Below are 22,908 nucleotides of genomic sequence, written 5' to 3'. Positions count from 1 at the left end.
CACTGTGCACCCTGCTGACCGGAGGCCCACCCGGATGGAATCTCACTACAGGGTTGCCCTTGGGGGCTGCCCACAGCCAGGTGGGGCTGGGAGATGGGAGAAGACGTCTTCATTCCCACCCTCACACGCCCACCCTGCCCCCCAGCCGTTGTCACCCATGGCCCTGATGCTGCCCCCACCCCAGTTCATACCAGCATCCCCAACAGACACACCAGGCTGCGTCATTCACTTAATGCTGCTTTTCTTCCATTTTCCTTCAAAAGCTGGGTCCACCCTCACGGCTGCCGCCTCTTACCGGCCCCAACGGCTTCTGCCCAGGTGCGTGGTCACCCCGGTTACCCCATGGGAGCCCCTTGGCTGGCCAGGGCTAGTCATGGTGCTACTTCTTCTTTGGAATTTTCTCCTTTTTGATCAATTCAGAAAATTCTAGAGCAGGAGACCAATTTAAAGTAAGTACCCCTGTTTTGTGTCCCCCAGTTCCTGTAGGCCCTTTAACTCTCAGAGGAGGCAGAGGGAGTGTGCCTGGACTACACAGTCCAGGGGGTCCTGTCCCCAAGTCCTTGAGCAGGGACCAGGCCTCCAGCCCATCTGGCCGGGGGCGGCCCCACGCTGGAGCTGTTTGTCCTGGGCCCAGCTGCTTGGTCGTCACAAGTTGACCCCAGCTGGGGACTGGGGGCTTGCAGTGGCCTGGCTCTCTGCAGAGACTCTCAGGAATTCCCACCAGACCCTCTGAGAGCAGGTGCTCATTGATGATCATCTCTCAGTGGGGAAACTGAGGCACGGAGCAGCTGGGGGGCCTGAGTTCTGAGAGGGGTCAGGATGCCTGTCAAGCCTTGTGACCCCCCCGCCACAAGCCAGGTTTGCTGGGGTTTCTAGACCCAGGCAGATGAGAACGGCCGGTGGCTGGGCAAGCGGTGTCTGGAGGCCCAGCCCACCTTGTGTGCCCTCCACCCTCCAGGCCTGTGGCCAGCCACTGGGGTTGTGTGGGGGTGAGATGGCCCAGACCTCAGGGCAGCCATGGAGAGCCTCAAAGACCGTGGGTCCCCCAGAAGATGGCACCCCGAGCTCTGAGACCCCATACCCGCTGGCTCTGCCACAGTTGGCCTTCCCAAAGCCCTCCTGGCCACCTCTCTGCAGTGGGGCCCTTGGCCCAGGGAAGAGCACCTAGACTCCCGGCCCAGACCCCTGAGCCTGGGTTTCCTCATCTGTGAGTTGTGTGCCAGTGCCCTCGGGGCGGGGCCATGGGCAAGGGTGGCGGCCTAGCAGGGGAAGGAGGGTCCTGAGGGTGCCCCGGCTGTGCTGCCCCCACCTTCGTAGTTGATCCTCCCGTCCCCGTGTGTGTCTGCCGCCTGGATCATGGCCTCGGCCTCCTCGTCTGTCAGCGGGGTGGTGGGCCCGCTGCTGGGGATGATGGACAGGATGTACCTGGGGCCAAGGGGGCTCGAGTCAGGGCCAAGGGGCTTCCGGCCAGTGCCCAGTGACTCACGAGCCGTTCGCCCCCCACCTTGTAGGCAAGGGCACTTCGGGCCGGGAGCCTGGGCCTCTGAGCCTCCTGGGCTTCTAGCTGGTTCTGGCCCAGCCCTGCCAGCTGCAAGGCCAGCGGGGACCCGGTGGGGGAAGGCCGGGTCCGCCATGTGGGCATTCGGCGTGGTCTGGGTGGCCTGGGCCCCACCCCTCCGTGGCCGCCAGCCATTACTTGATCTCGTTCCACTCAATGAAGCCACTCTTGTCCTTGTCCAGGGACTGGAAGGCCGTGTGGATGGCGTCGTCCAGCTGGCCCGAGGCGTGGAGCTTGCGGATGTGCTTGAAGAACTTGAGGTAGTTGAAGGACCCTGGGGCAACCAGGCGGGGCTCACGGAGGGGCCCACCTCACTTGAGCTGGGCCTCCAGGGAAGACCCCGCCCTGGGATGGGGGCTGCCGGGTCCTGCACCCCCATGTCCCCGCCCGCCGCAGGTCCTGGTGTCCTGGACCCATCAGCCCCAGAAAAGGGATGAGGTCTCCTGACCACAGCGGGGCTGGACGGGCGGGGGGCCGCGCCGGGCGGGGGCATGCTGTACCGTGGTGTCTCATGTCTGTGGGCAGCAGCTCAATGTCCTTGTCTGATAGGGACGTGCCCATGGCCAAGGCCATCTTCTTCATCTGGGAGGAGAAGTCCTCCTCCATCCTGGTCCTGGGTGGATAGGGAGTCAATTCGTGGGGTGCACGCACGGATTGGGGGTGCTGCTTGGGCCAGAGCAGACGTAGACGCCGCGTGGTGCTGGATCCTGCTGTAAAGTGGGAATGGTGACAGGCGTCACAGTGTTGGGGTCATGCCAGGGCCCCGAGACATGCTGGGATCCCAGCCAGGCAGGTGGGGGTCTGGGCACAGGCAGAGGGGTCAGCGGGAGGGGCCGGGCCATCCTGTGCGCCTCACGGCAGCGCCTTGTGACCTGCTGGGCTCTCAGGTTGCCGTCCCCAGGGGGGGTTGGGTTCTGGGGCTCAGCACAGCAGCTATCTCAGAGCGCAAGGGGAAGCGGGTGTCCTGGGCTTCTTGGCCCTCGTGAAAGTTCACAGGGTGGTAGAGCCTTCTGGAACGCTCTTGCTGCCAGGAGGGGCGGCCTGTGTTCTCGAGTGGGGCTGAGCAGTGGCCAGAGGCATCTCTGCTCTCCTCTGGATAGAGAGGCCATAGGTCAAGGGTTGCAACCCAACCCTGGCGCCCCAGAGGTGTGAGGAGCGCCAGTTGCAGCCCCTGGACCAGGTCCTGCTCCCCAACCCTCGGTGCCTCCAGCTGCCATGTGATGTGGGGAGACGCCTGCCCCTTCACAGGGTTGTGCGAGGAGCCAGGAGGGAAGGGAGATGGTGGGGAATGGGCTTGCCCGCTGCTGTGGGGCTGGAGCTGGGCCCCCACAGCCCCTGCAGTGGCTGATTCCCCCAGCCAGCAGGGTGGTGGTGAGCGGGCATGTGGGGCAGGACTGGGCCTCGGAGGCCCTCAGGACAGGCCCCGCCCCACTTCATTCAGAGCTGGGACTCTGGCTCACCTTCCCCAACCCTGGCATCTTGGGGACCTGTTTTGGAAGAGGGAACACCCACCTACCACTCGGGGCCCCGGGCCCAATGTCACCTCCTTTACAGAGGAGGGGCTGGGCCGAATTCCAGGCTAAATGTGGCCAAGCCAGGAACCAATGTCCCATCTGCCCAGTGCTGGGGGTGCCCCTGGGCTGGGCTCGTTCACCACCCCCAATCCCACTGCTCTCAGGGGTGCCCCCAACGAAGGCAGGGGAGCCCGAGATCCGGGCTGGAGACAGGGTGGGAGGCAGGCCTGGAGCTCCAGGCTGCTGGTTTATTTATAGCTCGTGCATCCGCGGCCCGGGCTGGAGTTTAATGGGATCCCAGTGAGCTGGGATGTCCGGCCGGGGGAGGCTGCGGGACGCCACACAAGCTGTCCTTGGGCCCTGCTCAGATTCTGGGGGCTGCCCTCAGTGCCAGGAAAGGCCCTGCCAAAAGGCCTCTGTTTCCCCACTCCCTTTACCCACCCTCCACAGCTAGAGATCCTGGAGCCTCCAGGCTGGGCTAAGACCCCTCAGACCACACACCGCCCCAGCATTGCTACATCTGGGATGCCCTGCTCCGGGCCATTCCCGACCTTCCATTCTCGGAAGCTGTGGTCTGCCCACAGCAACTAGCCTCTGCCACCCAGTCTCCAAGGGCAGATGCTGAGATGAGAGAGGCCTCTCGGGGGAAGGGGTGATAGAGGCAGTGGGGTCCCTCTGGGTCAGGGGCAGAGTGTGGGGACCAGAGCCGGCTCTGTGTGCCTGCTGGAGTCCGGGGGCCAGAGGCCTTGGACTCGCTGCCCTGCCAGCCCCACCCCATCTCCATCCCCACTTAGAGCCTGGGGGCCTAGGGACAGAGTGAGCAGGTCCAGCTCCCTATGCAGAGGCCCCAGCTCACAGCCGCCTCTTGTAGCCGTGCCCACAGAGGCTCGTGCCAGCACACACGTGCACACATGTGCTCCCCGCAGGACCAGGCACCTGCAGCTGTCTTCCATCCGGGGGCCCCCTTGGGGCTTGTAGTGGTGCTGCTGGCAGGGAGGGCCATTCCTTCTGTTTCCACCCCATTTCCCCACCTCCCCTGGGTCCCCTGGGGTCTCCCAGGGCCACCCTTGTCCTGTGGATGAAGAGAAGGCCTCCAAGTTCCCACCATCCAGCTCGGATAACCTCAGCGGCCAGAGACCCACACCCCCCTCCTTGGCAGGGCTTACCTCTGCCTGGCTTCTTTCGAGAGTTCTGGAAGGTGGGTCAGGCTGGGGTGTGGAGAGGCCCAGGGGCTCCAGCTTTTATACCTGCAAGCCTGTTTACATCTCGGGGCTGCAGCTGTCCTCGCCCCTCCCCGGCACTCCAGCCTGGCACGGGCAGCTCCCAGGGGCTCGCAGGCACTTGGTGTGTCCACACTGGTCTGGGCAGACTGACCCTTAGCAGTGCCTGGCCTCCCCAAACCTGGGGCGGGGTTAGGGAGGAAGAGAGGGCACCAGTGAGCCAGTGAGCAGGTGACCGAGGCCAGCTGGGCAGACAGCAGCTGGAAGCCTGAGGTCAGAGGGGCTGAGGGACCTGCCCAAGGTCATGGTGCTGGAACCCACGCCTCGGGCCTCCAGTGCAGCGGGTTGTACACAGTGGGAGGGGCTGCGGGCGGTGGGGGTGGTGCAGGGAGATTGAGGCTGGGGACCCTGCCCCCCCCAGCTCTGGTGCAGGAAACAGGTTGCAGGGCCAGACATGTGAGTGGGGTTTGAAGGGGCAGCCGAGTGGGTGCTGCGGCCCAGCCTGCGGGCTTGGGCCGGGTGGAAGGGGCACAGCACAGCCTGCAGGCCGGTGGGGGTGGGGAGGCTCCAAGTTCATATGGGACAAAGTTTATCCAAGCCACGTCCTCCTCCCAAACCACCCTCCCCTGGTGGTGAGCAGGGAGGGCCAAGGTGATCCCTGGCTGGCTCTGAATACACCAGGGGCACGGTTACCTTCTGCCAGGGAGGGTGGTGCCAACAGCCCTGCCCCTGTGGGGTGGTCATGCTGGGCACCGCAGGCCTGTGAGGAAGCCAGGGATGGGGCTGTCTGCCGGGGTCGGGGGGGCCTGGCTTTCTACTGGAAGCCACAGGACTGCCCGGGCCTCTTACATAGGCCGTGGTAGCCTCTGCTCATGTTGGAGGTGGGAGGGTATTGTCCTCACTAATGAAGGTGACGGTCATGATATGTGACAGGTGACAATGAATGTAATAACAGTGTCATCTGCCATTGGCGGGGCCCCAGGGGTCTCAGCAGCCTCTTGAGGGAGGCTGCATTATCCTCCTTCTTCAAGAGACCCCAGGAGATGAGGAGACGAATCCAGTCTACACCCGTCCCAGCCAGGTGTAGAGGTCAGGGCCACCTGGAGCCTCAGGTCGGACATCAGGGAGATGTCCAGGCTCAGACAGGGAAGGAGACACTGGTGGGTCCTGCCAGGTCACTTTCCCAAAGGGCTGAGCCCTCCCTGGCCCCAGCAGCAATTAGTGGCCAGTTAAATTCTTGCCCAACTTTGGCCTTTAAAGGCATGTGATTGTTTTAATTAGGGTGATTGAAATATTATCTGTAATAGCTTTTGGATGAGATGAAGCAATCAGGTTTATTACAGAACATTTGGAATATGTAGATGAACACGGTGGAGGTAAAGTCACCTGCAGAACACACGTTTGATGCTGGAGAATGTCCAGGCTCGGTCGATGCCTTTTCCTCCATTTCCTTAATGCTTTTCTTCTTTCTTGCGTGCTTTTTATCATGATAAAATTCACATAGTATAAATTTACCATCTTTGCCTTTTTTTTTTCTTTTTTATTGAGGTGGAGTCTTACTCTATCACCCTATCACCCAGGCTGGAGTGCAATAGTGTGATCTCGGCCCTGCAACCTCCGCCTCCCGGGTTCAAGCAGTTCTCCTGTCTCAAACTCCCAAGTAGCTGGAATTACAGGTGCATGCCGCCACGCCCGGCTAATTTCTGCATTTTTAGTAGAGACTGAGTTTCACCATGGTGACTAGGCTGGTCTTGAACTCCTGACCTCAGGTGATCTGCCTGCCTCAGCCTCCCAAAGTGCTGGGATTACAGGCGTGAGCCACTGTACCCGGCTGCCTTTTTTTTTTTTTTTTTTTTTTGAGATGGAGTTTCAAGCCTGGTGCGGTGGCTCATGCCTGCAATCCCAGCACTTTGGGAGGCCGAGGCGAGTGGATCACCTGAGATCAGGAGTTTCAGACCAGCCTGGCCAACATGGTGAAACCCTGTCTCTACTAAAAATACGGAAATTAGCCAGCGTTGGTGGTGCGAGACTGGAGTCCCAGCTACTTGGGAGGCTGAGGCAGCAGAATCGCTGGAACTTGGGAGGCAGAGGTTGCAGTGAGCTGAGATCGCGCCACCGCACTCCAGCCTGGGTGACAAAAGGAGACTCTGTCTCAAAAAAAAAAAAAAAAAAGTGACTAATACTCCATTGCATGGTTGCACCACATTTTGAGTATTCACTTGCCTGTTCATGGATCCTGGATTTTTCGTCCACCTTTTGGCAATTGTGAATAATGCTGCTATGAAGATGGGTGTACAAATGTCTCCTTGAGACCCTGCTTTCAGTTCTTTTGGGATGATAACCAGAAGTGGAATTGCTGGATGATACTGTCATTCTGATTTAAGTGTTTGAGGAGCTGCCGTAGAGTTTCCACGGCAGCTGCACTGTTTTCCATTCCCACCAACAGCGCACAGGGGCCGATAGCCCCACGTCCTCACCAACACTTGTGATTCTCTGGAGGTTTTTTTTTTTTTTTAATAGCAGCCATCCTCAGGGGTGTGAGGTGGCATCTCATTGTGTTTTGTTTCCTTTTTTTTGTTTTGAGATGGAGATTTGCTCTGTCACCCAGGCTGGAGCGCAGTGGCATGACCTCGGCTCACTGCAACCTCTGCTTTCTGGGTTCAATGATTCTCGTGCCTCAGCCTCCTGAGTAGCTGGGATTACAGGCATGTGCCACCATGCCCGGCTAATTTTTGTATTTTTAGTGGAGACGGGGTTTCACCATGTTGGCCAGGCTGGTCCTGAACTCCTGGCCTCAGGTGATCCGCCCAGTTTGGCCTCCCAAAGCGCTGGGATTACAGGCATGAGCCACCGTGCCCGGCCCTCACTGTGGCTTTGATTTCCATTTCCCTCATGATTAGTGATGGTCGGCATCTTCTCATGGGCTTATTAGGCATTTGATATCTTCTTTGGATAAATGTCTTATTTATTCAAGTCCTTTGCCCATTTTTGAATTGAATTTTGTTTATTTGTGATTAAGTTTTAGGAGTTCTTCATATGTTCTCTCTAAATTTCTGGTTATTCATCTATTTTCAGATGATTTGCAGATATTTTCTGCCATTCTTTGGGTTGCGTTTTTAGCCTGTTGATATTTTCTTTTGACCCACAAATTTTTTTAGTTATCATGAAATCAAAGTTGTCCATTTTTTTCTTCTGTTGCCTGTGCCTTTGCTGTCATATCCAAGAAATCTCTGTCAAATCCCATGCCATGAAGCTTTTGCTCTGTTTTCTTTTAAGAGTTTCATGTTTTACATTTAGGTCTTTGATCCATTTTGAGTTATTTTCATGTATGGTGTTAGGTAAGGGCCCAATTTCATTATTTTGCATGTGGACATCTAGTTTTCCCAGCACTCTTTGTTGAAAGACTGTTTTTTCCCCATTGAATGGTCTTGGCACCCTTGTCAACAATCGTTTGACCATATTATGTGAAGGTTTATTTCTGGGATCTCTGTTCTATTCCACTGGTTTATATGTCTGTCTGTCTGTGGGTGCCATACCATTTTGATTTCTGTAGCTTTGTAGTGAATTTTGAAAACAGGAAGTAGGAGTCTTCCAGCTTTGTTCTTCTTTTTCAAGATTGTTTTGGATATCTTGGGTCTCTTGAGATTCTATATGAATTTTAGGATGGGCTTCCTATTTCTGCAAAAGTCACTGGGATTTAGATAGGGATTGTGTTGACTCTGTAGATCGCTTTGGGAAATACTGACATCTTAACACTATTAAGTCTTTCAATCCATGAACATAGGATTCTATTTATTTTTGTGTTTCTATTTATTTATGTCTTCTTTAATTTCTTTTCAGCCATGTTTTGTAGTTTTCATTGTGCAAGTCTTTCACCTCCTTGGCTAAGTTAATTCCTAAGTATTTTATTCTTTTCAATGGTACTATACATGGAATTGTTTTTGTCTTTTTTGGACAAATTGGATAATCCTTTTCAGGTTATCCATTGGTAGTTTATAGAAATGCAACTGATACTTGGGTGTTGACTTTGTATCTTGCTACTTTGCTGATATCATTAATTAGCTCTAGCAGTTTTTTTGTGGCATATTTAAGATTCTTTACATATAACATCATATCATTTGTGAACAGAGGTAATTTTTTTTTTTTTTTTGAGACGGAGTCTCACTCTGTCACCCAGGCTGGAGTGCAGTGGCGTGATCTCTGCTCACTGCAACCTCCGCCTACCAGGTTCGCACCATTCTCCTGCCTCAGCCTCCTGAGTAGCTGGGACTACAGGTGCCTGCCACCATGCTCGGCTAATTTTTTGTATTTTTAGTAGAGACAGGGTTTCACTGTGTTAGCCAGGATGGTCTCAATCTCCTGACCTTGTGATCCACCCGCCTTGGCCTCCCAAAGTGCTGGGATTACAGGCGTGAGCCACCGCGCCTGGCAAACAGAGGTAATTAGACATTTTTCTTTCTTTTTTTTTTGAGGTGGAGTCTTGCTCTGTTGTGCAGGCTGGAGTGCAGTGGTGTGATCTTGGCTCACTGCAACCTCTGCCTCCCGGGTTCAAGAGATACTCCTGTCTCAGCCTCCTGAGTAGCTGGGACTACAGGCGCGTGCCATCACACCCGGCTAATTTTTGTAATTTTTAGTAGAGATGGGGTTTCACCATGTTGGCCAGGTTGGTCTCAAACTCCTGACCTCAGGTGATCCACCTGCCTTGGCCTCCCAAAGTGCTGGGATTACAGGCATGAGCCACCGCACCCAGCCTTACTTTTTCCTTTCCAATGTGAATACCTTTTATTTCTTTTTCTTGCTTAATTGGTCCACTGGAAACTCTAGTACTATGTTGAACAGGAGTGGCGAGAGTGGACACGCTTTTCTTGATCTTAGAGGAAAAGTTTTCAGCCTTTCACCACTGAGTATGATGTTTGCTGTGAGCTTTTCATGGATGGTTTTTATCACCATGGATGGTTGAGGTAGTTTCCTTCTGTTCATAGCTTGTTGAGCATTTTTATCATGAAAGGGTATTGAATTTTGTCTTTTTCTGCATTGGTTGAGATAATCACGTGTTTTCTGTTCTCCTGAGAATGTGGTGTATCACACTGATCAAATTTTGTAGTTGGCCCATCCTTGCATTCCAGGAATAAATCCCACTTGATTATGGTGTATAATCCTTTCCATATGCTGCTGACTTTAGTTTGCCAGCATTTGGCTGAGGATTTTTGAATCTGTGTTCATGAGAGATATTGGCCTGTACTTTTCTTTCCTTGTAGTCTCTTTGGCTTTGGTGTCAGGGTAATGCTGGCCTCATAGAGTGAGTTAGGAGTGGCTGAATTCAGTTTTTTGGAAAAGTTTGAGAGGAATTGGTGTTTGTTCTTTAAATGTTTGGTGGCATTCGCCAGTGAAACTATCAGGTCCTGGGCCTTTCTTTGATGGGAGACTTTTGATCACTGATTCAATCTTCTTACTCATTACAGATCTATTCAGATTTTCTATTTCTTTGGGACTTAGTCTTGGTAGATAGTGTGTTTCTTGGAATGTGTCCAATTCTCAGTGCTTTCCTATAGAGCAAGATATGATATAGGCCTGGCTTTCCAGCTGTGAGCTTGGGCAAGCCACATAGTCGGTTCTCTCGGGGCATCTGTGTGTAGCATGAGCTCCCACCCCACCTGCTGCTTCATGGGGGCTGTAGGGGAGAATGCGAGGGTCCATGGAGGTGGCCCACTGGGCCTGGCAGCGTCTCCCAGGACATGCAGGTTGGCCAGGGTGTTTGAGAAGCCAGCAGAAGACACCAGACAACCTGGCTTCCTCCAGTGGCCAGGCCTGAGCAGCTGTCTGTCCATGGGTCACTGCAGGGGCCAGGGAACCATGCCAGGGCCCGGCTCATGAAGCTCCTAAAATAAGGGCCCTGGAAGGAGAAGGGATCTCTATGAGGCAGGTGGCTTCTGCGAGCACCTCTCCCCTCGCCGGCATCTCTCATAGGGTAGGGCCTTTGTAGGGCTGTCACCAGGGTGAGACCAGAACAGGTACACATCACCGAGGAGCTCCCCTGGCCACGGGCTGTCTGGAAGGAGACGCTTCACTGTGCATTTGTTTCCTGATACCCCAATAACGACAGTGAAGAAGGCCTCACGCCGCCGCTTCTCCACCTGAAACCACAGGTTTTCCTTCGTGCGGGTTTCTGCCCCTCTGGTTCTTACACAGAGCTGAGATGACTGCAGTATCCGCTTTCTCGGTGTCACATCTTACCACGTCTCCACAACTCTGCAGTTACGATGGGAGATGACTCCGTGTTGTGCCTGGGAGCTGAGGACGGTCCAGCAACTTTTTGTTTTGTTTTGTTTTGTTTTGAGACAGAGTCTCGCTCTGTCGCCCAGGCTGGAGTGCAGTGTCGCGGTCTCGGCTCACTGCAACCTCCACCTCCCGGCTGGGTTCAAGCGATTCTCCTGCCTCAGCCTCCCAGGTAGCTGGGATTACAGGTGCCCACCACCACGCCGGCTAATTTTTGTATTTTCACCATATAGGCCAGGCTGGTCTTGAACTCCTGACCCCAAGTGATCCTCCTGCCTCGGCCTCCCAAAGTGCCGGGATTACAGGCATGAGCTGCCACGCCTGGCCCCAGCAACCTTCTTGACTGGCCGTCTGCTGCTGGACCAGGAGAAGCTTCAGGGTTCTTTTGTCATTAGATATAATGTTGCAGTGAGTGTTTTTGTCCAAGAAGCCCCTCCCTTTCCTTGGCCATGTTCACGTTAGTGGAATGAGCGGGTCAGAAGGTGGAAGAGTCCATGGTCCTGCCATATTCTTCTGTGTGGGGTTCACCCTAAAGCTTTCCCACTGTGTGGGGTTGTCCCGGGTGCTCCCACCCCACACCTAACACTAATAACATTGCAGTCTGTCTCCAGCAAGCAGCCCTGACCTCAGGGTGTGGCCGGATAAACACACTGCAGTCCGTCCACACAATGGAACGTAACTCAGCTGTAGAAAGGCATGTGGCACCAGCAGGCCAGAGTGAGGAGGAACCTTGGGAGGAACATCCCACTGAGGGAAGCGTGGCAGACGCCCCCACATACCATGTGATTCCATTTTTATGAAATGTCCAGAATGGGCCGGTCCATGGGGACTGAACACAGAGTGGTGGGGGCTCAGGAGAAGGGAACGGGCAGGTGCTGTCTGAGGGGCCTGGGGTTTCCTCTGGGGATGGTGAGAATGTTCTGGACCCAGATGGGGGCGCAATGTTGTGAATACAAATGCTACTGAATTGTTCACTTCAAGCCGATTCATTTTATGTTATGTGAATTTTTTCAATAAAAAAGGAAATATGTGGCCGGGCACGGTGGCTCACGCCTGTAATCCCAGCACTTTGGGAGGCTGAGGTGGGCGGATCACGAGGTCAGGAGATCGAGACCATCCTGGCTAACACAGTGAAACCCCGTCTCTACTAAAACTACAAAAAAATTAGCCGGGTGTGGTGGTGGGCGCCTGTAGTCCCAGCTACTTGGGAGGCTGAGGCAGGAGAATGGCGTTAACCCAGGAGGCGGAGCTTGCAGTGAGCCGAGATGGCGTCACTGCACTCCAGCCTAGGTAACAGAGTGAGACTCCATCTCAAAAAAAAGGAAATATGTGGAGTGGGAAATCATGCTTTTAATAAAACGAGACCCAAAGAAACCAGCGTCTGGAAGCATCTGCAGTGTGAGCAGCTCAGGCTGGGGACCTGCCCCTGGCCCGCCTGGGCCACAAGGCCTGGGGAGCCTGGCGTGGGATCTCTGGGCTGGAGGGCGGGCTGGCAGATGCAGTGTTCTCCAAAGCTCCCGGAACCAGCACCTGCCCTGAGCTGACAGATGGCCTGTCCCCTGGGCGGCCCTTTCGGCTTCATTTCTGTTCAGAGCCGCCCCTCCTGGCCTCCAGCCCTGCCCCCAGGTCACTGGCCCCGACTATGGGCTACGCCGGCCTGGAAGGGCCACAAGGACCACTTCATAGCTCTGGATGACAGTATTATGCCCCTTGTCCCCGCACTAGACAGGCACTGCCCCCTTGGGGAGGTTCAGGTCTCACTGACCCCCGCAGGGTTGGCACTGCCCACCTTCCTGCCTGAAACAACTGCGGGGCAAGGGGGAGGCCAGGGCTGGAGGCTAAGAGGCACCAGCTGCCCCTCCTGCCTGAGGGCCCTGCTGCCTCAGCCTGGAAGAGCACCCAGCTCTGTTACCTCCTGGGTGCCTGTGGGTACAGGGCTGGGGCTGGGGCTGGAGGGGCCCAAGCACCCTAGAGATGCCTCTAAGAGGGCCAAGATGGTGGAGGGGCATGTGGCAGAATGGGGGGGTGCCCACTGCAGGGTGAGGCCCAGCCAGGCAGGGGCATCCTTGGGGCTCTGCAGTGCCTACTGTGGTGCCCAGCAGGCAGATTTGGGTGCTGAGTCCCGGCAGCTACACTTGCAGAAACGCTATTATAACTGGCTAATTGGGATTCAGACATCTGCAGGAAGAATTTGGGAAGGTGCTGACCTTGTCCTGACAGCTGCATGTTCCCCACTTTGCCTCCCTCCTCCCTCCCATGCCCTGCACTCCCATCGGGGGTTGAATTGTGTCCCCCCAAAATATGTTCAAGTCCTGACCCTGATACCTGTGAATTGGGACCTCAGTTGGAAGTAGGGTCCTTGCAGCTGTGATCAAGAGGAGGCCAGACTGGAGCAGGGGGTCCTAATGCAATGACTGGGGCCTGATAACGAGAGGAGAGGACGGACACACACACACGCACAGACACACACGCACCTACACATATGCACACACATGCACACACCCCTACATACCAACACAGACACACATATACCAACACACACAGACACACCTATGGATATGCACAGACATGCACACACACCTGTGTACACATACATGCACACATACCAACACACCTACACATATGCAAAGACACATGCACACACACCTACACATGCACACACACCACATATGCACACACATCCACACCAACACACACATGCCTACACATATGCAGACACACAAACCAACACACACCTACACATATGCACACACATACACACCAACACACATGCACACACATGCCAACACACCTACACATATGCACATACACATGCAGACACACCAACACACACACATGCACACACATGTACACATACCAACACCGACACACGTGCCTACACATATGCAGACACACATGCACACACAAACCGATACACACCTACCTCTATGCACATATGCACACACCAACACACGCAACTGAACATGCACACACACATATACCTACCAAGACAGACACACACAGACACACATATACATACCAAGACACACACATCTACACATATGCACAGACACACATGCATACACACACATAGACACGTACACACACACGCACACGACTATGTGACGATGCAGGCAGAGGTTGGGGCTGCGCAGCCACAGGCCCAGGAAGGCCTAGGGCCACCAGTAGCCGGAAGAGGCAGGAAGGACCCTCCCCTGGAGCATCTGGAGGGGGCGACCCCGCCCACACACACACATCTACACATATGCACAGACATATGTGCAGTGGCGCCATCTCGGCTCACTGCAAGTTCCGCCTTCTGGTTTCAAGCAATTCTCCTGCCTCAGCTTCCCTAGTAGCTGGGATTACAGGCGCCTGCCACCATGTCTGGTTAATTTTTGTATTTTTAGTAGATACGGGGCTTCACCATGTTGGCCAGGCTGGTCTCGAACTCCTGACCTCGCGGTCCGCCCCCCTTGGCCTCCCAAAGTGCTGGGATTACAGGCGTGAGCCACTGCGCCCGGCCGATTACTGTTTTTAACAATTTTATTGAGATATAAGTCACATGCCATGAAGTTCACCACTTTAAAGGGTACAGCTTAGTGTTTTAGCATCTTCACCAGGGTGGGCAGCCATCACCTCTAGCTAATTCAGGGAAGTTTCCTCCCCCCAGGAAGACGCCCTGTGCCCCTTCTGCACTGCCCCCACTTGCCCCTCTCCCGGCTCTGGCCCTCCACCTGTGCTCTGTCCCGTGGATTTGTCTGTTCCAGACATTTCATACAAGTGGAATCACACACTCTGTGGCCTTCTGTGTCTTTCACTGAGCATATTTTCATGTGTCATCCATGTGGTAGCATGTGTCATGCATGTTATAGTGTGGTCAGAGCTTTGGTCCTGTGTATGGACCAATACCATTGCATCGTATGGACAGATCACATCCTGTTGATGGTTTATCTGTGGATGGGCATAACTGCTGAGTTTTTGGGTGCCCCCTAAACTTTGCTCCTGAGGTGCGTTCCTCACTCTGGTCTCTAATCCCCAGACCCCCAGGCTCTCTCCTGCCCCTGCCCCCTCTTTTCCACCACACCTGGGCTTCCTGCTGGGTTCTTGGCCTTTTTCCTCTTCGACGGGCAATGCTTCTGCACCGACACTCTCCCAGCCAATCTGGGCTCCTCGGTCAGCTCCTTCTGGGCTCTAGAGAGTCCCAGGGGCGGAGATCATGCCTTCCCCCAGGCCGGGGGATAGCAGACAGCTATGTCTTCAGGGACCTCTTACCCAGAGGTGCTCACTGATCCTGTCCCAGCGTGGGCAAAAGCCAGCACCTGGGGGGCCCCACTAGGGTCACGGTCAGTGGAAGCATCTGAACTCCTGGTTCCAGCGAAATCTCAGAGGGCCCTGTGCTTCCTGGAGAAGGGGTGTCGCTCTGGTTACGTAGGGTGGGAGTGCTGGCTTGGAGCCCAGGGGCAGCTCCTCCCCTGTCCTTCCTGGAGCCCCAAGAAGATCCACAGCTTGAAGCCCCTGAGCTGTGGCCCAGCCACAAGTGTACATGTGTGTGTTCACAGGCAAAACTGAGAGGAGCCAGCCCCTGGTCACAGCAAGCTGTTTCTGGCCCTGGTCATCAAGGCAGGGACACTGAGGGCATGGAAGTTCTGGACAGAAACTCTCCCCAACATGCCAACCAGCAACCACCCACGGCCACTGGCCACCTCCCCCTGCCTAGGTCCAGGTGTCTAGGGCACCTTCCAGGCTGGGCAGAGGAGGGCACTCCCTCCTGAGCTGGGGAGGGGAGGCCCTGACAGGGGACCCAGAGTGGAGACTCATGAGGGTATGCCATACCCTCTGTCCCTCACACTGGAGCACTCCAGGATCACAGCCTGCTGGCACCAACCATCCCTGCCACTGGGTGGGCACTGATCCTCCCAGCCCTCTGGGCTCCCTGAAGACACAGACTGAACGAGGTGGCCCAAGGCCTCTGAGTGCCTCCTGCGGGCAAGGCCCCCTTCAGCCACTCTACCCACGCGGCTTCTTTACCTGCAACGGCAGCCTGGCGGCAGCGCCCCTTAGAACCTTGGCTGGCCACATGATCAGGGCCAGGAAGAAGGCTCTGGGTGCCCTGTCTCCTTCTGCCCCAGGTGCAGTTGGTGTCTTGTCTCCTACAGCCAGGGACCCCTAAGGTCTGAGGGCACAGGGTGGAGGCCCCTTGCTTTGCCTGTTAGGAGGAAACTTCCTACATGAGGGACCCCCTTAGGAAAAGAAGGGTGGGTCCTGGTGCCCATCTGCCCCGTGGCCCAAGCATCCTGTCCTGGTCTCTGCAGGTCCCTCTGCCGGGAACAGGCTCCTTTCTCTCCCTAAAGTCCTAAGAGCCCTGTTGGAGTGGGCGCCTCTCACCTGCTCCACAGCCCCCAACCCCAACTGGGCCTTGCCAAGGGGCTTAGCCATCTGGTCCCAGAATGAGTGAGTGAATGAATGAGTGAGTGAATGAATGAGTGAGTGAATGAATGAGTGGATGAGGGTGCATCAAACTCAACTGCAAGTCTCCAGGACACTTTTTTTGAGACAAGATCTTGTTGTCACCCGGGCTGGAGTGCAGTGGTGCCATCTTGGCTCACTGCGGCCTCTAACTCCCAGGCTCAAGTGATCCTCCCACCTCAGCCTCCCAAGTAGCTGAGACTACAGGTGAGCGCCACCATGCCTGGCTCATTTTTCTAATTTTTGTAGAGAAAGTGTCTTGCTATGTTGCCCAGGCTGGTCTGGAACCCCTGAGCACAAGCCACCCGCCTGCCCTGGCCTCCCAAAGTGCTGGGATTACAGGCATGAGCCACTGGGACCAGCTTCCACTGAACTTTAACTCTCCCGACTCCCACGGGGGCAGGCTGGGGGGACCCTGCCCCGCCCCAACCCTGCAAGGTGGCACTTTGGGCGGGGATGGGGGATCCTGGGAGAAACATAGGGGAAGGGATGGCCCCTCAGCGCCCAGGCCAACCTGCTGCCCTAAGCACCTGGTACAGTCCACGGCAGGTGGAGACTCAGCCAGGTTCTTCCTTCATGGCTGTCGCAGCACGGTACAGGAGCAGGCCTGTGTGCAAAGCCAGCCACCCCCACTCCACCAGCACAGGTGCCACCCAAAGGGCATGGGGTGGGGGGGCGGCTGCCAGCCGCCTCGAAACCTGCAAGTGAGGCGAGGGCCCCTGAGCACCAAGACCCGCCCTGGGTGTGCTCCCGGGTTCCCCCACCTGTCTCCCTGAACCTTTCCACCTAGGAGTACCCCCTCCCCCACCCCGGCGTTCCCTCCGTACCCACTCACGACTTACCATTCACGACTTCCGTTTCCCCCCCCCCCGCCAGCCTCCGTGCCCCCCTCAGCCCCAGGCCGCCGTGCTTCCCGCTCCGGACCATCCCCCCACTCCGTGCCATCCCCGCTCCGTGCACGGCCCCCCGTCCCCCCTCCTCCATGCCTCCCCTCCGTGTCCCCCCTCCAAGCCCCCTTCTGTGTCCCCCACTCCGTGCTCCCCTCTGTCTCCCCCTCCGTGTCCCCCTCTCCGTGCTCCCCCCATGCCACCCCGGCCGCGGAGGGCCCCCCCCTCCCCCGCGCCGCTCCGCGCGCGCTCCCGCCCGCGTTTTCGGACTGCACCAGCGGAGCCCCGCGGCGCCAGGGCCGGGCGGAGCGCCTCGTCTGTCGCCGCCGCCCCCACCGGTGCGGGCTCTGCGGCTGCGGCGGGGGGCGCGGGGCGCGGGGGCCGGCGCGCTCCGCACCTGCGGCGGCCGCTGGGTGATGCGGCGGCTCGGGCCGGGGCCGCGGGCGTCCTGAGCGCAGCGCCCTCCCGGGATGCCCGCCGGCCGCTGGCCCGGCCATGTCGTCGTCCTTCTTCAACCCCAGCTTCGCCTTCAGCTCGCACTTCGACCCCGGTGAGTCCCTGGCGGCCCGGCCTGCGCGCCGCTGCCTCCCTCCGCTGCGGACGTGATGCCCCTGGGCCCCACGGCTCCCGGTTTGCATGGAAATTAACCCTTTCCCCGCCCCGAGCCCAGCAGCAGAAGCAGCCGGACCCCCTGGCGGCCCCAGATCTCGGAGGGGCAGGCCCTGGGCCCCAGCACAAACCGGCCTCCGCCTGTGGGCTGGCGTCCCCCGCGTGGTCGTGACTCCGTGGCTGCCTCCAGGGCACAGGTAACTGGGGCACGGAGGGCCTGCGTGGGCCCCTGGTGTCCAGGAGAGTTGGTCTCAGACTAAGGGCCCTTGGGGGTGTGGGGGGTGTCAGCCAGCTGGGGTTCAGGCTTTCCATGGCCTCTCCTGGGTCCGGGGCCCTGGCGTGGGAGGCTTCTTCCCAGGCTGGGAGCGATTCTCAGAGCCCTGCCCAGCCACCAGCAGCCGGCGGGGGATGTGGGGGGAGCAGGGGCCAGTCCACATTACAGAGCCCAGTGGGCAGAGGCTCAGAAGAGAGGGGCCTTGGTGGGTGCCCAGATCCCCTGACAGTGGGGGCCCGAGGTGACGCTGTCAAGCTGGCTGCAGGGGACCTGAGGCCAGGCCTCTTACCCCGTATGGCCAGTGCACCGGGCAGGGCGAGATTACCCATGGCTGCCTGGCCTCCTGGCTGTGGTGGACAGCTGGGATAGGCAGAGGGGGCTGGGGACAGCTGGAAGCCCCATCTGTCACCAGGAAGCAGTGGGCTTTCTAAAACCTCTGCTTCTCCAGATCCGGCCCCTGCTTGGCCTGAGTGGGAGATAATCCCCCTGCCCTGTGCCATCCATGGCCCCAGGGCCAAGTCCCACCCACACGTCACTGGGGCTCTGGCACCAGGCTGAGCCAGCCCAAACAAAGCCTGTTTGCATGTGACGTGATCTCCTGTGTCTCCTTCCCTGGAGCAGGGCCCAGTGCACGCAGCCTGGCAGGGAGGCACGGGGGTCCCCGGGGCAGATCTCGGTCTGAAGGCATTTGCTCCCTGGAGGAAGGGAGCTGGTGGGAGGTCTGTCTGCTGGGCTTAGGGCTGTGGGTGTCACTTGCTCAGAAATGACTTCCTGTAGTGACCCCTGGGGCTCGGAAGTCCCTGTGGGGTGGGCAGGTGAAGGCTCAGAGCCCAACAGCCACGGCAACAGCTGTAATGTCTCCCCGGCCCAAGGGCAGGGGGTGGAGGAGGCTTGGGGCAGGTCCTCATCACATCTCCATGCCAGGCGTGGCCCACGGTGCTTGGTCCTTTCTGCCCCCAGAACAGAGAGGACCCTCGGCCCATACCCTGCCTCGGGGCCCAGCCTTGTCCTTGGCCATGAGAGGCCCTTTCCCCCGCCTTCGAGCAGCACCGGCTCTGCCCTTCTCTGGGTAAACAGCTGTGATCTGAATAATTCTAATGTGTCCGTTTAATGACTTAGAGGAAAAGAAGTTGTTGGAGGCAAGGGGCGTCTCTCCTCTGCAAGATGCTGGGCCAGAGCTGCAGGCACCTGCTGGGCTCTGGGGCCCACCTACCAGGAGGGGCTGCCCAAGGTGCTGGTGCTGGTGAGGAAGGAGACCCTCCTTCGGATTAAGGGGCTGGGTCTAGGCTCTGCACCAGCCCCCATGAGAGGGTTAGGGAGGAGAGAGGGGTCTCCTGCCCTCCCGCTAAACTTAGCCCAGCCTTCCAAGCCTGGCTGTCCTGTGCTGCAGTCCCTCTGCCTGGCCTTGCCTCTGTGAACCTCGGTTTTCCCATCTATGACATGGGCCGACAGTACCTGTGGCAGGCCCGGGTGGGCTCAGTGCTTGGTGAGCACTTGGCTGTCTGTGCTGGAGTGGTGGTGCTGGGACAGAGACCCCCAGGGCCCAAGCTTCCTACAGCATGTGGCTGGCTCCTTGCCATCCCCGAATTGGAGCGAGCTGGTTCCTTCTGAGGCTGCTTGTGTCTGTGGGGGGGCACCCAGAGGGGAGGGGCCCACGCTTGTGGCTCTGGCAGTTGGCTTGTGTGTCACTCAGCATCTGGGGCAGTGCTAGCACCTGACATGGGGGTCTCACCTCAGTTGCCAGGCCCTGCCCCGCTGCCGGGCCGGCTCCTTGTTCATCGCAGGAACTGGTGCCAGTCTCCATAGAGGTGACGGCAGTTGTGGTGGTACAGGGGGCAGAGACGCCCGATAGTGCAGGGCCTGAGAGTGGAGGCTGTGGGCACAGACTGTGGGCTGCCTGGGCCCCTGACCTTCCGCACCAGGCAGATGCGGGCAGGGCAGGGGGCACCCGGCCCAGGAGCCTGCTTGAGTGCCAGGAAGAGCCGCCTCCTCTGGAGCCCAGCTCTTCCCCCATCTCCCTGACACTCGGGAGCGTGGCTGGGGGATTTCTTGGCAGCTGCAGCCTTCCAGCCTCTGTGCTGTGTGGCCTCGGACTACTCACCCAGCCTCTCTGAGATCCGTTCTGCACATGTGAAATCTTGCTCTGGGGAGACTAGTGTGGGCATGGCGGCCAGGAAAAGCAGGGTGATGGGGGTGACACATGGGCAGGATGGCCGGGTCCAGGCTGGCAGGAAGGGGGTGGCATGGCCTTGAGCGAGCAGAGGTCACCCCTTCTACCTGAGTGCCCCAAGGGAGGGGGCTGGCCTTGTTGCTCACCCTCCCCAGCCTTCACCTTCCCTGGTGCGGCCTCAGGGCGTCATGATTTCTAGTCGTCCTGAGCCCTGGGGCCTGGAGCTGTCCTAGGCTGGAAGTGGGCATGGGGACACCGCCTCGCTCCGGCTTCTGGAGAGGCGCGCTCAGCCTGAGGGTGGGGGTCAAATGCTCTGCACAGTTAGGAGCAGGGGTTTGCCCTGGGGCCACCTCTGGTTTGCTGAGGGGCCCTTCTGTGACTGGCTCTCCATGCCTGTTTTGTCATCTGTAAGGTGGGAATGGCTGTGATGGCCAGGTCTGAAGGGACAGCAGTGGTGCACTGAGCCAAGGGTGGGTACCTGGGCAGTGCCTACCATGGCTGATCCCTGACGCAGAGGTGTCACTGTTGACCAGTGGGCAGGGCTTGGAGTTTGTGGAAGTTCTCGGAACACGTGGCAGCCTGGATTTGCCACCCCCCAACCCCCGCCTCTCCCCTGTCCCTCAGCTCACGCCCTGTCTCCTGCCCAAGGTCTCTCCCTGTGTCTGACCTGAACCAGGCGCCATGGGGGGTTCCTGGGAGAAGTGCCTGTGCCTGGCCACGGTGCTCGCTCTATCAGCATTCATGTGAACCGGACACCTGGCACAGGGCTGGGCAGGCTGGGCCTCAGGATGAGCCTATTGATGGGGAGAGGGCAGAGGAGGCAGCGAGCCCCGGGCCAGGCATGGCCTCAGTGGCAGGGGCAGGGCTGGACTCAGGGGCTCAAGGGGCTGAGCAGGAGGCCATGGGCCTGGGTGGTCCCCGGGAGTCCTCCCCTTGGAAGGTGCCCCACAGCTGACACTGCCCGGGCACCAGGTGTGGAGTCTGTTTGAAGGCAGCTGCTGCTTCAGTCTCCCAGACCACTCAGGCTCAGGCAGCAAGCACCTGCCCTGGGAGGAGTTACCTGTCCTCCTCTCGCCCCCGGGGTCTCAGAGGATGCCCCAGAGGAAGCTGTGCCCATGAGTTCGGCCCATCCCCCTACTTCCTCTCAGGTCTCAGGTCTCCCACCGAGACCCTTAGGCTGCAGGTGTGCAGGCCGAGGTGGGTTCTTGGAGAGGGTCCCATGGGAAGGCTGTGTGGACAGTGGCCTTGGGGAGCGGTCACACGCAGGCCGTGGGCCCTGGGCACGGGTCCGGCTCCCACCTACCAGCATGGGTGCGGGCACTCGGGGAGGGTGTGGGTGTCGGCACTCGGGGAGGGGGTGGGTGTGAGGCCCCACACTCCCAGGCATGGGTCAGGGAGAACATTTCTCTCATTCCGGCACATTCTCCAGGAGGCCAGGCTGTGCGCTTCCCTCCATGGGGTGGTGCAGTGACCCAGAGGACCGGCCCCTGCAGTGGCCACCCTGTGGGCCCGAGTGCCCCAGAGCTGGCTGGGGTGGGCTGGCAGCTGTTGTGTTGTGTGGAACATGCTGGAAGGTCTGCCTTGTGCCACCCTGCATGTTTGGGATGCATCGACTCCCCGCCATGCCCTCTGCCTCCCCGGCTCCCAACCCTGACCCTGCCTCACGGGAGAGTTCTGGCGTGGGCTGGTGTCCTGGGCCGGGCCCTGCTGTGTGACCATGGACAGGTCTCATAACTTCTCTGTGTCTGTTTCACCTCTGAAATGGGGTCCGGCAGCACCCACGCTCCAGGAGGTTCCTGAGAGAACCCGGGGGCCGTCACGGCAGCTCCAGGGCTGGTGACTGTTCACGTCCTCTCTGCACTCACCCACCACCCCGGCCGCCTGGGAACTGTGCTCCTGCCTGTGCCCCCTGGAGGCATGTGCTGAGTGGAATATGTCACCCCAAACCCATGCCCGCCCAGTACCTCAGAATGGGGCCTTATTTAGAACTAGGGTCTTTGCAGCTGTAATCAAGTTAAGATGAGGTCGGACCGGAGTAGGGTGGGCCCTGAATCCAATGACTGGGGCCTGATAGAAAGAGGAGGAGTGGCGTGCACGCGGGAAGGAGGCCACGTGCAGAGGCTGGAGTGATGCAGGCCCAGGAGCACCTGGGGCCGCTGTGCCGGAGAGGCAGGAAGGATCCCGCCAGCGCCTCGAGGGAGTGGCCCTGCCCATGCCGTGCTTTCCTCCTCCACTGTCCAGAACTGTGAGCACATCCATTCCTTGCCGTCTGGGCCAGCAGCCCGTGGTCCCAGGACACACATCTGGGGGTCTCCTTGGGTCTGAGGGGTGAGCACAGCTGCCTCGAGACATCAGGAGCCTCTGACTCCATCCTGAGAAGAGTTATCCTTGGAAGAAAATGAGGCCACGTGCTAGCCCCCAGCCTCAGAACCCTCCAGGGCGCTTGGCTGGGTGTGAGGAGGAAGCAGGCCGGGGCCACAGCTGCGTGGCATCCTCTGCCTCCTCCTCGGTCCACGGGGGAGGCAGAGGGTCCACGGAGCACCTCGGTGTCTCCTCGGATGTGGTGTCGGCGGTGAGCCTGGGACCACGCTGTTCTGCTGTCACCGGCCTCCTGTCTCCAGCTCACGGGGTTCTTCCGGGGTAGGCTTTTCTCGAGGGCCACCTGACCCCTCTGTGCACGCCAGGGCAAGGCTGACGGGAGGCCCACTCGACCACTCCTGGGTGGGAGCCTGATGCAAAGCACCTGCCGTGGGGCCTCGGCCTGCGGTCCTGTCCCTGGTGGCACAGATCCAGGGGCCCAGGAGCCCGTGTCCGTGGTGGGGAGACTCCCGTCCCCTCCGCAGGCCACAGTGACAGGAGGGCTTTGGCGTCTGGGCCCCCCTGGGCCTTGCCCTGCCTTTCACAGAGGAACAAGCGCCCGCGGGACCGGCGGCCTTGGCCTCCCCGCCCCCC

At 58.5% G+C, this 22,908-nt stretch overlaps 2 protein-coding genes across 2 annotated transcripts in view, besides 2 other annotated features; one reads left to right on the top strand and one right to left on the bottom strand.

The window, feature by feature from the left end:
• Positions 1-224: 224 nt before the first annotated feature.
• On the bottom strand, positions 225-17,884 carry PVALEF (parvalbumin like EF-hand containing). The gene is made up of 7 exons (NM_001354639.2): positions 17,644-17,884; positions 16,547-16,714; positions 4,239-4,473; positions 2,059-2,268; positions 1,697-1,832; positions 1,310-1,425; positions 225-426 (listed from the first exon to the last, which is right to left on the bottom strand). The coding sequence occupies exons 4-7, from the start codon at positions 2,162-2,164 to the stop codon at positions 380-382; spliced, it is 405 nt and encodes a 134-aa protein (NP_001341568.1). The 5' UTR covers positions 2,165-2,268; positions 4,239-4,473; positions 16,547-16,714; positions 17,644-17,884; the 3' UTR covers positions 225-379.
• Positions 17,170-22,908, top strand: part of AATK (apoptosis associated tyrosine kinase) — a 48,927-nt gene continuing 43,188 nt past the window's right edge. Inside the window, exon 1 of the mRNA NM_001080395.3 lies at positions 17,170-17,453. Within this exon, the coding sequence (NP_001073864.2) occupies positions 17,399-17,453 (55 nt within the window). The 5' untranslated portion in view covers positions 17,170-17,398. The remainder of the gene's footprint in view (positions 17,454-22,908) is intronic.
• Positions 17,629-18,372: an enhancer, noted in NCBI's record as "H3K4me1 hESC enhancer chr17:79138819-79139562 (GRCh37/hg19 assembly coordinates)". NCBI's record gives its function as "activates a minimal SCP1, AML or CMV promoter by ChIP-STARR-seq in naive H9 embryonic stem cells {active_cell/tissue: H9 hESC(naive)}" and the evidence as "EXISTENCE:reporter gene assay evidence [ECO:0000049][PMID:30033119]".
• Positions 18,373-19,116: an enhancer, noted in NCBI's record as "H3K4me1 hESC enhancer chr17:79138075-79138818 (GRCh37/hg19 assembly coordinates)". NCBI's record gives its function as "activates a minimal SCP1, AML or CMV promoter by ChIP-STARR-seq in naive H9 embryonic stem cells {active_cell/tissue: H9 hESC(naive)}" and the evidence as "EXISTENCE:reporter gene assay evidence [ECO:0000049][PMID:30033119]".

This window comes from Homo sapiens, chromosome 17, assembly GCF_000001405.40.
Source record: "Homo sapiens chromosome 17, GRCh38.p14 Primary Assembly".
NCBI lineage: Eukaryota > Metazoa > Chordata > Mammalia > Primates > Hominidae > Homo > Homo sapiens.
The sequence above is the reverse complement of the archived record's forward strand: the minus strand, read 5'-3'. Positions and strand labels throughout refer to the sequence as shown.

Coding starts and splice junctions, on each gene's coding strand:
- PVALEF (NM_001354639.2), bottom strand. CDS start 2,164: ATGGAGGAGGACTTCTCCTCCCAGATGAAGAAGATGGCCTTGGCCATG. Junction 1,426..1,696: donor ATTGAGTGGAACGAGATCAA/GTAATGGCTGGC, acceptor CCTTGGCCCCAG/GTACATCCTGTCCATCATCC. Junction 427..1,309: donor CGGGAGGATCAACTACGAAG/GTGGGGGCAGCA, acceptor CTCCTGCTCTAG/AATTTTCTGAATTGATCAAA.